General features: G+C 33.5%; 1 protein-coding gene across 5 annotated transcripts in view; it reads right to left on the bottom strand.

The window, feature by feature from the left end:
- Positions 1–13,462, bottom strand: part of DYNC2H1 (dynein cytoplasmic 2 heavy chain 1) — a 370,438-nt gene that overhangs the window by 230,370 nt on the left and 126,606 nt on the right. For 4 of the 5 annotated variants that reach the window (NM_001377.3, XM_017018291.2, XM_006718903.3 and 1 more), the window contains 3 exons: positions 12,955–13,064; positions 5,703–5,801; positions 4,120–4,243 (listed from right to left, as the gene is read on the bottom strand). In NM_001377.3, the coding sequence (NP_001368.2) occupies positions 4,120–4,243; positions 5,703–5,801; positions 12,955–13,064 (333 nt within the window). Of the gene's footprint in view, positions 1–4,119; positions 4,244–5,702; positions 5,802–7,946; positions 7,968–12,954; positions 13,065–13,462 lie in introns of all 5 variants that reach the window. The other variant, NM_001080463.2, reaches the window with a different exon arrangement.

The raw sequence follows: 13,462 nt of genomic DNA, 5'->3' as shown, positions 1-13,462 counted from the left end.
TGGGCTTCTGGAGTGCTAATAAAGCTCTTATGTCTTGATCTGGGTGTTTATACAGGTGTATTCAATTTGTAAAAATTCATTAGCTATAAATTTAGGTATTCTTTTCTTTACGCATATTTATTTTTAAATAAAAAGTTAAAATAAAAAAAGTTTTTCTTTGGTGAGTAGAACTAGTCATGGGAGGGGAGGAACAGAATGCTGCTGCACTTCTGTATCATTTGACTTTACAACCCATGCATGTACTACTTTGATAAAACATTTTTGAAAATATTTTAAAATAAATATTTTATTGTCTAAAAAAGACTCTTCAGTGTTGTCTCATCTCTTATTCATAGAAAATATCAAATGTAGAACTATAGAGTCCAACACAGTCTTAACTGTATGAATTCTTAATTTACATTGGAATTAACCTGTGATGCAGTTAATTTTGACTACTTTTTTCCTCTGAACACAGAATCTGTGTTGTACTTTAGATAACTAAAGACAGCATGATTGGGCAAGGTACAAGAGTTGGTCTCTGGGTCCTTTCCAGGGAAAGTGCCAATTTACATGGCTATTGTTTTCTGAACCAACATAAGGCTTGGATATTTTGTTTTTTTGTTTGTTTTTTTCAGTCAACGTGTACAACGGAATGAACATTTGGGGTGCTTGGATACATGGATATATTTAGATGCACTCACTGTGATATCTTTGGTTACTTCTGTAACAATCAGATAAAGATTCAGGCAAGATCAACCTATAAGGTATACCCAAATCCTATCAATATTTACAGCTGAAAGAAATGTATTATGACAGAAAGTGCAAAGGAATCTATATTTTTACACCAGGCAGGGGTGCTCCACAATTTTATCTGTCTGAATTTTGGAAACCAATGCTGCTGAAGGTTTACTATGACCATTCAAATTTAAACCAGGCAGTGGCCACCATAGATTCCATAGTACCTGACATAACAATGAATATAAAAACTGCTGTCATAACTGATACTTAGTATGCAGACTGGGATATTGCTAATTATTACTAATTATTTCTCTTTTATATTCTTTTCAAAAGAAGACCAAAATCAGTTCAGCTATTGTATGCAGGACACCTTTATAGGTCCAAACACTTCAGAAATATATTATCAACTGAGTTAGATGAATTCAAGTACCATGAGAACCTCCATATAGGTCCAAATTCCATTCCATTATGTAGATAAAATTTTGATAATGGTCTCCAGTGGGAAAACTTTTCACATTGTATTGCATACCACTCAGGCACAACTCAAGATGAATGGGACTTAATTAAAGGCAAATCTAAAACTCTGGCACCCAAAGAAGGAAATAAACATTTCACAAGGAGATATCCCACAGCCCATTATAGACCAACTGCTTGCGTTACAGCCACTAAATACAAAGAAAGAAAGATAACCAACATCTGAATACCCTCTTGGCCTATAAAAAGCAGCATGTTCCATACCTGGAAATTTCACCATAGCCCCTATATCTTGTCAACAAACATGGCTAGGTTTAAATCATAGCCCTTGCAAGAGGCACCTTTGGAAGTAATTGAGGCAACTGTAAATCAATCCTTGTCTTCGGTCCCTATACCCTTCAGGTACACCAAATTACAGATATCTACAAATAATCTTACAGATAAGCAAATCCAATGCAATGCTATACCCATCAACTAACCACAGGTACAATTTCTGGCAATCTATAGCATTGGATATTCTGTACAATGAGCTCACTTCAAGTAGTGTTCCTGGCTAGAAAATATGCCACTCTGAGACCAACTAAAATATACCTGTCCAGAGACTCATGGGTTGGAACTAGTGAACTAGCTTAAGGTTTCTCAACCTTAGCAGTATTAACAATTTGTTCTGAGAAATTATTTGTTGTTAGGTAGTTGTCCTGTCCATTTTAAGATGTCTCTAGCATAGTGGCCCTCCACTCCAGCTGTGACAACCAAAAATGTCTCCTGACATTGCCAAATATTCTCTGGGAGACAAAACTGCTCCTAATAGAAGAACAGTGATCTACCAGTCTTCGGGCCATTGGGTCACCCAGAAGCAATTGGACTACGAAAGACACATCCATATGGAGATATACCTCTTGAAAACAGAGACAACAATTAATCACAAATTTAACCTTTATGTTGCATGTACGTATGCCTGTCTCTGTAGGAACCATGCCTAAAAGGAGGCATCTGGACTAAAAGAATCAACCACAAATGTTTAGCTGTCATCTCTAGTATAATTCCTGGTTCCATACTCAAACTCAACATGGAAATAAAACAACCATAAAGGATTAGAATGCTTAATAGAAGATACTTTTGATGTCTGTTGTTTGTAAAATGTAAAACTATTAGCCAACTACACTAGCCTCTCCCTCAACAACTTCTATACAGTTAGCTGGTCCAATTGTCTTCAACTATTTACCAACTGCAAACTGCCACATCTACCTTCTGTCTTGGCTGAGCTCCTAAGCACATAGGAAACAAAGTAAAAAAAAAAAAAGGAGAGAGAGAGAGAAAAAGAGAATTTGAAGAAGTATACCTTGCTTTTCTACGATCAATAAATAAGATTTTTGACGAGCATAAATTTGTAGGAGAGAAGTACATTCTATTCCTATATTTATGTCTGCTTTAAACACAGTAAGTAGAAAAGTAATTTGTATATCTTAGATTAAGGACACTGGGATGTAAACAAACTTGGCACAAACTTTGTTTTATGTGATTCTAGGACTACCATCCTCTGTCCCCAGAGTTAATGTATGATGAAAAAATGGCAACTCATGAGGAACTTATCACTCTTGAAAAGGACAATATCTGGAATATACACAAAGGGGATAACAGACTAGTGTGACACGAATACATCCAACCCTGCGGAGAAGATGGAAAAAGTAAGATAGGGGCAATGGTTAACTCTCTTTTCCTAATTCTGACATAAACAAATTGACCTAAACAGGCTTGCATAACTACCTAGAACAGTTCAAAATGTGAACCAATCATGATATAAAATTTATCACTCTTTTCAGGGGATCTAGTCAACACTCTACACTCAGACAATGCCACACATACCATTAAAACCTAACACTAACCAGAACTCATGGAGATTTATATTTAATGAGTCCTTCAGGACCACAGTATAGAATGAAGAATGGCAAATTGAGATGGCCCTAAAGGTTCATTTCCTCCTCCTTAAGATATCATAGCAAGAAACTAGCTCAGCAGATCTGAGTTACCCCCAACAGAAGGACCAGAAACTGAGCTCTGGAAGACAACTCCATTCTAGCAAGGTCACTTTCTTGATTACAAGCTTCTGTTGTTATACAGTAGCTTAGATATTCCCTGCCCTTCATGCCCATAAAATATATTAAGAGGATAATGTTACAAAGGCCCCACTACTTGAGTTCTCATAACATATCAACCAGTACTAGGCCAAACATATCAATGTGAGGGACAATAGGTTATCAGAGAATAGTGCATGCTTTGCTATTTCTCTGCGTTGCCCCAATAACATCAATTTTCTATTTAAAGTTTGCTGTGCTAGCAACGTATGTGGCATACATTCACGTACGTATATGTACACGTCTACATATGTATGTGTATACACTTTGCATGATATGCTCTTTAAGTTTCAAGGCATAGCCTTCTAATCATCCAAGACTGGGCTGGGTTCCTATGCAGAAAAGAATTAACATAGCAATCCTGAGACTCTTTAGAAAGGGCTACTTGTAAAGTTGGCCCATAACCAGCACCTGGGAACTTAGCTTTTGGGAGAGTTCTCACCATCCTCAGAACTCAAAAAAGTGGCTCACTGTGCCTAAACTGTTTGTACAAACAATATGGTTTATGCTACACCTGCTTTCCTTCAGGGGGTCTAGAATTTTGTAATGTGCTAGGGAGAGTGTGCTTACGTAATCAACCCCCAGTAAACTATGGGTACTAGGTCTCTACTGAGCTTTCCTGATAAACAACATTTTACACATATTGTCACAACTTTACACATATTGCTGAAGGAAGTAAGCCCATCATGTGTGACTCCACTGGAAGAGGACTCTTGAAAGCTTGCACCTGGTTTAATTACTTACTTTGGAAATTTTAAAAATATTTACACTCTGGAAAGTGTCAATTATTTACCTTGAGCAACCAGATCTCGTCTCAATAATGGATAAAGAACAGGTTCTACACCATCCATCTCTTGTATAATAAGGGTTTTCCCAAAACGTACTGCTAATTCAAGAGCTGTGATAAAGTTACTATCCTAATTGAATAAAAAAGAATACGTATTAATTATTTAATTACTTTAATATTTACAAACATCCTTTCTTTGATTTTCTACAGTAATTTCAAAATGTTATAGAAACACAATTTCAGATTCTATAGGTAATAAATTACTCACCCAAGTATTAATAAGAACCCTACTCTGCTTATGTTCAGAATCACACATTGAATGGGGAAAAAAGGCAAGATGATGAATTCTAGTAAAATTTTCTTGGTGGATAGGTCTGATAATTCTGAAAAGAACCTTTAGGCAAAATTCAATAATCAAGAATTTTAAGGCTTTCTAGATAGGGAAGGAGTAGTTTTAAACATCACCCCAGGCGTGTGTATGTGTGTGTGTATGTGTGGTATGTGTGTGTATATATATATGTGTGTGTGTACATATATATAAAAGTAACTATATAGTTACTTATATGTCTATAACTATGACTATATATAGATATAGTACTTATATGTATATAACTGTAACTATAGATATATATAGTATATTTATATACTTATATGTATATAAGATATATAGTATAGTGATATATGTATATAACTATAACCATAGATATATAGTACTTATAATGTATATAACTATATAGAGATATATAGTATACTTATATGTAGTCATACATAATATTGCAAACCATAAATGATTTGCATATATAGTTATATATAATATTGCAAACCATAAATGATTTGCATATATGCAAGCCATAAATGATTATTAAAGTATTTTATATATTATTTAATTTATAATTATTCTTATCACACAAAAAATAAGGTAGATATCCCCATTTTACAAGTAAAGTAACTTTTAGAGGTAATTTTTGAAACACCTGAAAATTATCTATGAAAATTAATCATATATTAGGTCTTCCTTTAACAAAATAATAACCTAACCAAAAATAATTTCCTCTGCAAGATAAACATGAAACTGAGAAGTCACTACCAAAAAGACTATGATTATATTTCACTGAACAATTATCAAATCTTGGGATACATTAAAGATGTCTGTCAATGAGTTAAAGAAATTGGAAATTATGAGAGGCATTCAGAGAAACTGTAAATATGCTAAAAGGCTAGAAGGCTTTTCCGATTCTCCAAGCTAACTTAAAAGCTCCTACTTCTACAGCAGCTTATACTTGTGTCATTAGTCATAACGTAGTGCAAAGCTTCTTTAATTGTTTCTCTAACCTACTAGACTGTCATCTTTATAAGGGAAGGAACTCACTATTAAATTCCCAGGGCTTAGATCAATACCCAGAATCAAATAAATATTCTTATCTATTTTTTACAAATTAGAAAACTGAAGCTAAGAGTTATATCTCTCGCCCAAGGTCCCATACAGTAGGACCCAGTGTTGAATCTATGTTTTCTGATTATAGACTCCAAGATCTTTTCACTATAAGAGGTCATTCCTAATTGGTATGTAAATTATAAATAATACATACCTGCTGATTGATAACTTCTAAACGTGAGTCTTTCAAATGTGTTTTTAACCACTCTGTAGCTTGGGAAGAAGGATCTATAAGAAATGGGCACACTCGACTCTAGTATAAAAAAAAGGAAAAGTAATGTTTTTTAATGATTATAAGCTTTCATTTAAATGGAAATAGTTTTCTAGAAATTATAAATCAATTACTAAATGATCTTTTCTCTCAAGCTTTGGAGAACACAAATATACAACCATGAAAAAGAAACAAAAATACAGTTTTTAGCTGCATCACAAGCCATATTAACAAATCTTCAGTGACCAGGAGTTAATATTAGGTAATTACATTTAGCCAGAGTATAGAGAGTACAGTCCTACTTAACACAAAATAACACAGAATATCTGTACTAACATTATGCTAAGCAAGAGCTTTAGTCTCAAGCTGATGTCATTTGCAGCATTCTTTTTGGCTTTTATAATACACAGTCAAATTATTCTCTATTTATCTATCTATCTATCTATCTATCTATCTATCTATCTATCTATCTATCTATATTCTTTGTTTGAATAAAAACTATAAAGGCCATAAAAAGAAGTATGAGCAAATCATTAAAACACTGCTAATTATCAATATAATTGTTCACATTTTAAGACATTAATTCTTCTAAAGCAGTATATATCCAATATTACTAAAGGAGTATCCTGGAAGAGAAAATTACATGGGCTGTAGGTTAAGATCTAATGAAATGAACTAAAAACTAAATTCATTATAGAACATCCTGCACTAATTAAATTCTAAAAAAAAGGAAGTCAGGCCCGGTGTGGTGGCTTTGGGAGGCTGAGGTGGATAGATCATGAAGTCAAGAGATCAAGACCATCCCAGCCAACATGGTGAAACCCCGTCTCTACCAAAAATACAAAAATTAGCCAGGCGTGGTGGCGGGCGCTTGTAGTCCCAGCTACTTGGGAGGCTGAGGCAGAAGAATCGCTTGAACCCTGGAGGCAGAGGCTGCAGTGAGCCAAGATCACGCCACTGCACTCTAGCCTGGCGACAGAGACTCCATCTCAAAAAAAAAGGGAGTTAGAAACCAGTGAAAATGCCCTCCACACACAATGGCACTTAGTAGACAGAAGAAAGCCAATTATAAATGTATAAAATGTATATCATATGTATGATAAATTTAAAAGTCATTTAACAATCATTGCTACCTACTAAAATTTAAACTGATCTAATTTTTCTTAAGTTTTCACATTTATTTGAAAAATGTAATGCAATTGTGTGCTATAAGAATAAGAGAACACATATGAAAGTCAGAGTAAGATGAAAACTTAGAATGGGGTACAGCAGTCCCCCTTATCAACAATTTATTTTCATGGTTTCAGTTACCCATGGTCAACCACAGTCCAAAAATAGGTGAGTACAGTATAATAAGATATTCTGACAGGCAGAAAGAAAAACTACATTCACTTAACTTTTATTACAGTATACTGTTATAGTTGTTCTATTTTATTATTGTTGTTGTTAATCTCTTACTGTGTGTAACTTATACATTGAACTTTATTATAGTATGTATGTTTAGAAAAAACATTGTATGTATATATATGCATGTATGTATATCATAGTATGTATGTGTATATAAAATAGTATGTATGTGTTATATAAAAATGTATAACCCCATATATAAATATGGGGTTCAGTACTACCTGAACTTTCAGGCATCCACTGAGGGTCTTGGAACACATGCCCAGGAGAAAAGGGGGGAACACTGTATATCTAATAAGAACATACAGGTTATCTCAGTGGCACACCAAGAGGGAGGGAGATAGTGGGAATTATCTGCCCTGTGGACGAATAGTTTTATATCACCAATGCTGTTTACAATTGCTAGCACACGGTGATATTAAAGAGAAGAACGACTTTAAAACAGCTTTATTATTATTATTTTAAAATGGTCCACAGACAAGGTACCTTGTTTTCACTTGCACCCACAGTAGACTACTCCCATCATACCTCCTGCCACGTTACACTGTATGAGCATCACCCAGCATCTATTTCTAGAGATTTCACTTACTGCTCCATCACGTAAATGTACTACTCGAAGCACAATGATGTGGTTAGTAAATAGCCTGTGAAGTGTTACCATGGTGCTGCACCTAGGTTTTTGATCTAATTTTATGCTAGCATTCAATAGCACACATTTCACAATTCTGCATTTTGCCTAACTACAAAAGTAATTATTTTAAATTTTTAAAAAGTTCTTACCCATGATTTCAAACCAATGATCTGATGCAGTTAAATGAAAAGAAGAAAGGTAACATTTCAAAATGTTTTTAGCAAAGAAAACATGCTTAAGTTTTTCAAAGGGTACTTAAAAGTTTGTTGTCATCTTATTTTACGTCTCCAGACAGATTTAGATAAGATTTCTATGGTACATTTTATCTCTGTATTCCATGATTAAATATAGTTAAATTCTACAACTATACTCAATCCAAAAATGTTGAGCTTTCATTTATTTACTCATTTGTTCGTTACTTCATCTACTATATGTTGGATAACAACTATAGTAAGATAGTACAAGGAGTACAGAAATTAAGAAAATACATTCCCTTAACCTCAATAACTTTACAGGCAATAAAGATGCAAAAATAAAAATTTCATCATCAAGAGGTGCACAAGTTGCTACTGAAGGATGATAGGTGAAGTTATGGCTAGAAAACAGTTCAAGTCAAACTAAGACAAGAGAGATCAGCTAGGCAAAGAAGTGAAGAAAGAAAAACATTTCAGGCAAAAACAACAGCATGATATAGAGGGGAATAAAAAGGTTTGGAGTATTTGGAAAACTTACAGTACTCCGGTGTAGCTAAAGAAAAATAAATATGGGAAAAGGTGATGCATATAAAATGGCAGGAGTAACCTGGAGTCTGTCTGATCATGATCAGCTTTTTATGCCATGTCTAAGGATAATGAAATTTTTATACTGCAGACAATGGGAAATCACTAAAATATATTAATTGAGGCAATATTATGATCGGATTAATGTTTTAGAAAAATCACTCCAACAACAGTAAAGGAAGTGGTACTGGAGACAAGGAACCAGCTGGTATAATGATATATTTATCCACATACAAAATGATGAAGGCATAAATGAAGCCACTGGCAATGGAAGTGATTAAAACAGGATGAATTCATGAGATATTTGAGAAATAGATTTGAGAAGATTAGTTGAATAACTGAATAAAAAAGTAAAGAGACATAGTAAGAATGACGTTCAGGGTTGTAGCTTGCATTACTGAGAAAAGACTGTGATATCTCTGGTGGTAGAAAATAAGAGAAGCAGGTTATAGGCAGTGAGAGAGGAAGAAAAATGAGTTCTATACTAGAGAGCTACCTTGCCTACCCTGCATATCCCACTAAATGTATTTCTGATGGGTTATCAATATGATTAGATGATCTAAGCTAACCAATCCGAATCCTTTTGGGAGACTGGCATATTATCTATGGTGCAGAGGGAGTGAATGACACATCTTCAGTCTGGAAACATAAACTCTAATAATGGTAAACATGGAGTCACCAATGGACAAGGTTAACAAAGGGTAAAGAGAACCCATCTGAGAATGAATCCATCTTATAAAATGGAGGCAGAGATCTCCTGGTAAAAATTATTTTAATTCAGAAGCTTGCCCCAACCTTTTAGACATCTCAGCTATTTAAAAGCATAAATTGCTAGTTTTTTCCCTTAAATGTGCTATAACTGGCCACTGGAGGATTTTTGACTTAAAAAATGGTGAATTTAGTTAAAGGCTGATAAATTTTGAGCTGCCTAGAAAGAATGGGTAAAAATATCTAACAGGTAGTTAGAACTGTAGGTCAAGAGTTCAAAAAACAGGTTAAAAACTAAAGATACATAATCTCTATTTAAATTCTTCTCTCCTTGGGGGAAAAAAAGATTGGTCAAAGGATATTTTTGAAAGAGATAATTTTTAAAACACCTAGTACACCCTATAATGTTATGTCTATTTTCAATACTTATAAATGGGACAAATGCAAAAACATTTTATAAATAAAACTAAAGCCTAACTCTTGATTCACTAAGGAGAGTTACATTAACAAGAATATAAAATAAATAAGGTTACACACACACACACACACACACACACACACACACACTCCTATGAGAAGTGTATAGACAGGAGCTAGGTGGCCTGGGTTTGAATCCTGGCTCTACCACTTGATAGCCATGTGACCTTAGACAAGTGAATTAACTCTTCTGTGCCTCAATGTCCTTATCTATAAAAGGGATAACACATGAATCTAACAGATTGGGTTGATTTGAGAATTACATGAGTTATGTGTTTAAGTGCCTTACCTATTTATTCTTAAACAGTAATATATGCACAACATGGTAAGTAATACGCAAGTATTGATTATTGTTATTACTTATGTAAGGATTGAAAAACTTTTTCCTATGTGGAGAAGTTAACTTTAAAGTTGTAAATTTACCATTATAATTTTATATTCTTAGACTAGTATCACATTAGTTTGCATTTCCTCAGCATATACCAAAAGGCAGCAAGAAAAAAAAATCTATGAAATTTTGAGTGGTTAAAACCAATTTGACACTGAACTGTCTATAACAATAAAACACAAATATTCAATAGATGTCATCACAAGAAAAACCCATATAAAATCTGATATTTTAATTAGTCATCTTCTCCACTTCCTTTCTTGATGCTTTTCACTCACACCTTCTCCATAGTTTCTAACAGCCTTATTATACTTTCCATTATCCACTGAGTTGACCAATATTAGATCATATAATTTATCACCCAAACCAGGACACTGTTGAGAGTGAAAGGAAAACTATTAATAATTGTATCAGGACAACAAGTGCAAACCATAGACCAAGCAATCCAGGACATATGATCACTATGGCCAAATTTTTCCCTGTCTCTCAAATACATAGGTCACATGAGCTTTCTGCTAACGTAGTAAAACTAATTCCTGTTGTAAGACCAAGGGTATGTAAGGATTTGACTAATTACTCTCTGCGGCAATACATGCACTTCAATAGTTAGCTTAACCTAAATATGAGAATTTTAAGCATCTTTGTAAGACCAATAAAAGAATAGTTTTAGACACAAAAGCCTTTCTTAGCAAAGCCTCCTCCGCTGAGAGGGAGAACCTCAGAAAAGCTTTAGCATTGGGGTGTGTGTGTGTGTGTGTGTGTATGTGTGTGTGTTTTGAGAAGTTTCACTCTGTCACCCAGGCTGGAGTATGCGGTGGTGTGATCTCGGCTCACTACAACTTCTGCCTCCCAGTTTCAAGCAATTCTCCTGTCTCAGCCTCCTGAGTAGCTGGAGTTACAGGTGCATGACAAAATGCCCAGCTAATTTTTATATTTCTAGTAGAGACAGGGTGTCACCATGTTGGTCAGGCTGGTCTCAAACTTCTGACCTCAAGTGATCCACCCGCCTTGCCTCCCAAAGTGCTGGGATTACAAGCATGAGCCACTACACCAGGCCAGCTTTAGCATAGTTAATGAGGAGATTATATCTCTGAATCACAAATGCATATTATTTATCATGTCTAGCCATCTTTTCCCAGAAGCCCAACTAATATATATTTACAGATTTAATTTTACGTACATGGTGATGTTAATGAGTTGATGTTACAGATTACGTGCTATCCAATCACACCCTTAAACTACAACTAATTTTAAATCTAGTACACCTTAAAACTGAGATGGAGTGTCGACCATAACAGCAAATTCATTTCAACGAAATAACTAATTACCCTAAGAAATGTTTCCAATGATTTTTGTTTTGTCATATAAATGCAAGTAATTATCTAAAAGGAACTTAGCAATGTTAAATACAAAGTAAATTTAAGCTTATTAATTTCAAAGGCAATTTCCCATATCCATCATGAAAGACAATTCAGAATACAAAACTAAGCATTTTCAATTAACATTGGTAAAAAAATTATTCTGATAAACATATTTTGTCTACAGACTTACCACCCTCCCCTTGTTTCTTATGGAATAAAAAAGAATTCTTAAACCTTTTTTTTTTAATTTGCAATCAATTGCTTTCTTGGATTATTGAAACAGGAAAAAGATGTGGCTATGAAACCTTAGGGAGGGAATAACAAATATAATAAAAAGCATATAGTTTGCTATAATGTAATACATTTATTTACATAAGCATTTAGAGTTTCATATTTGTGATTCCATTGTGAAAATAATAAAAAAAATTTTAAAAGTAAATTTAAAAACAGGCAAAATCAAATTAATAGAAAGCAAAACTATTCAATTAGTGGTCAGCAACTTCTCTACCGGTAAGTTACCAATACAGTGAGCTGAAGCATAGTCAGCTGATTAATAGGTCTAATAAAACAGAACAAATTATCAAGTAATGAACAGCACCTAAAATATAAATCTTATAATACAGTTTATGCTACATAAAGAGGAGCATGTTTAATGTTCATGCTTTCTTTGAGACTATGGAGTTAAAAAATAAGAATAAGGAAATAGTGTGTAGGCAGAGAGAAGGATTACTGAGAGGAAAAGGAATACTAATATTTATTATGAAATATAAACTATTGACAGAAAGAATAGAAAAATCACATTATCAAGAAGTAAAAATCATCTTCCAATTTCCATATCAAGAAAAGTAAACCAAGTTAATGGGAAAAATCAAACTTTATTCAAGTGATTATTTATTTGTGTACATGGCTTTGAATTTGGTTTTCACACTCACTGATAATAAGGTTATGCTATTTTCCATTTTAAATAGCTTTGGAAAATGTGCACTATGTGACAAAACAAATTTCCAAATTATGTGTATGATTATCTCTAATTGATAAGCCAAAACTTATCTTCACTTTTTGCTAATTTTGTTTGGCAAAATAAAATGAAATAAAAACATAAAATTTATGAAGTCATATATTCTAGTCTGTACTCATGAAGAAACTATATAACCAATGAATTGGGTATCCCTAAAATATTTCTATTACTATTAGGAAATACAATTTAGAATATTTTGCCATCAAAAGAATGCCACTTTATACTTTTATATTAAGGTAAAAAATAAATTATACAGAAAGTCTTACACTCACTAACTGAATCATTGATGGGTTTTCATTAGCAAAATATTTTTATTTTAGTAAGAAAAGGGTAACTGTGAAAGACTAAGAATACGAAGAACACAATTTCTACAGCAAGCTTGACAATAAAACATTTCTAATAAAAAAATTAAAATAAATTAACTACCTGTAATATTACAAGAGCATTTTCTATGGAAAGGTCATCTGATGGTAGGCCTTCACTTTTCCAAATTAACTGCTCACTTTCAGTACAAAGAAATCTCCTCAGATCAAATTCTGAAAAGTTGAAGATATTGATAATACTTCACAACGATCTTGTACTTGATGAAGGGAAGGAAATAAAGCTATTTATTCCGAAACAAAAGTCCTATGACAGTCCTTACTTGAAACCCATTCTTCCACATTTAACACCCAAACCCACGGAGAAAAAAGTCTAAAACAAAAACAAAAAGTGCAAAGGAATGGAACTCCACGAAGTCCTATTTCTTTGAGTGACTGTTTCACAAACTAAAATAATTTTGTAAAATACCACTAACATCACAAAGAATTTTAAAGTTCTTGCATCTCAGCCTATGAAATAAAATTATTATAAAAATAAAAGTAACATAATGTTTAATTGCATCTATGCAATATCAAAAATAATTCAGTCATCTCAGTTTTTTACAGTGATTTAA

Source organism: Homo sapiens, chromosome 11 (assembly GCF_000001405.40).
Source record: "Homo sapiens chromosome 11, GRCh38.p14 Primary Assembly".
NCBI classification, from domain to species: Eukaryota; Metazoa; Chordata; class Mammalia; order Primates; family Hominidae; genus Homo; species Homo sapiens.
Note: the sequence above shows the minus strand (reverse complement) of the source record. Positions and strands in the feature narration are given on the sequence as shown.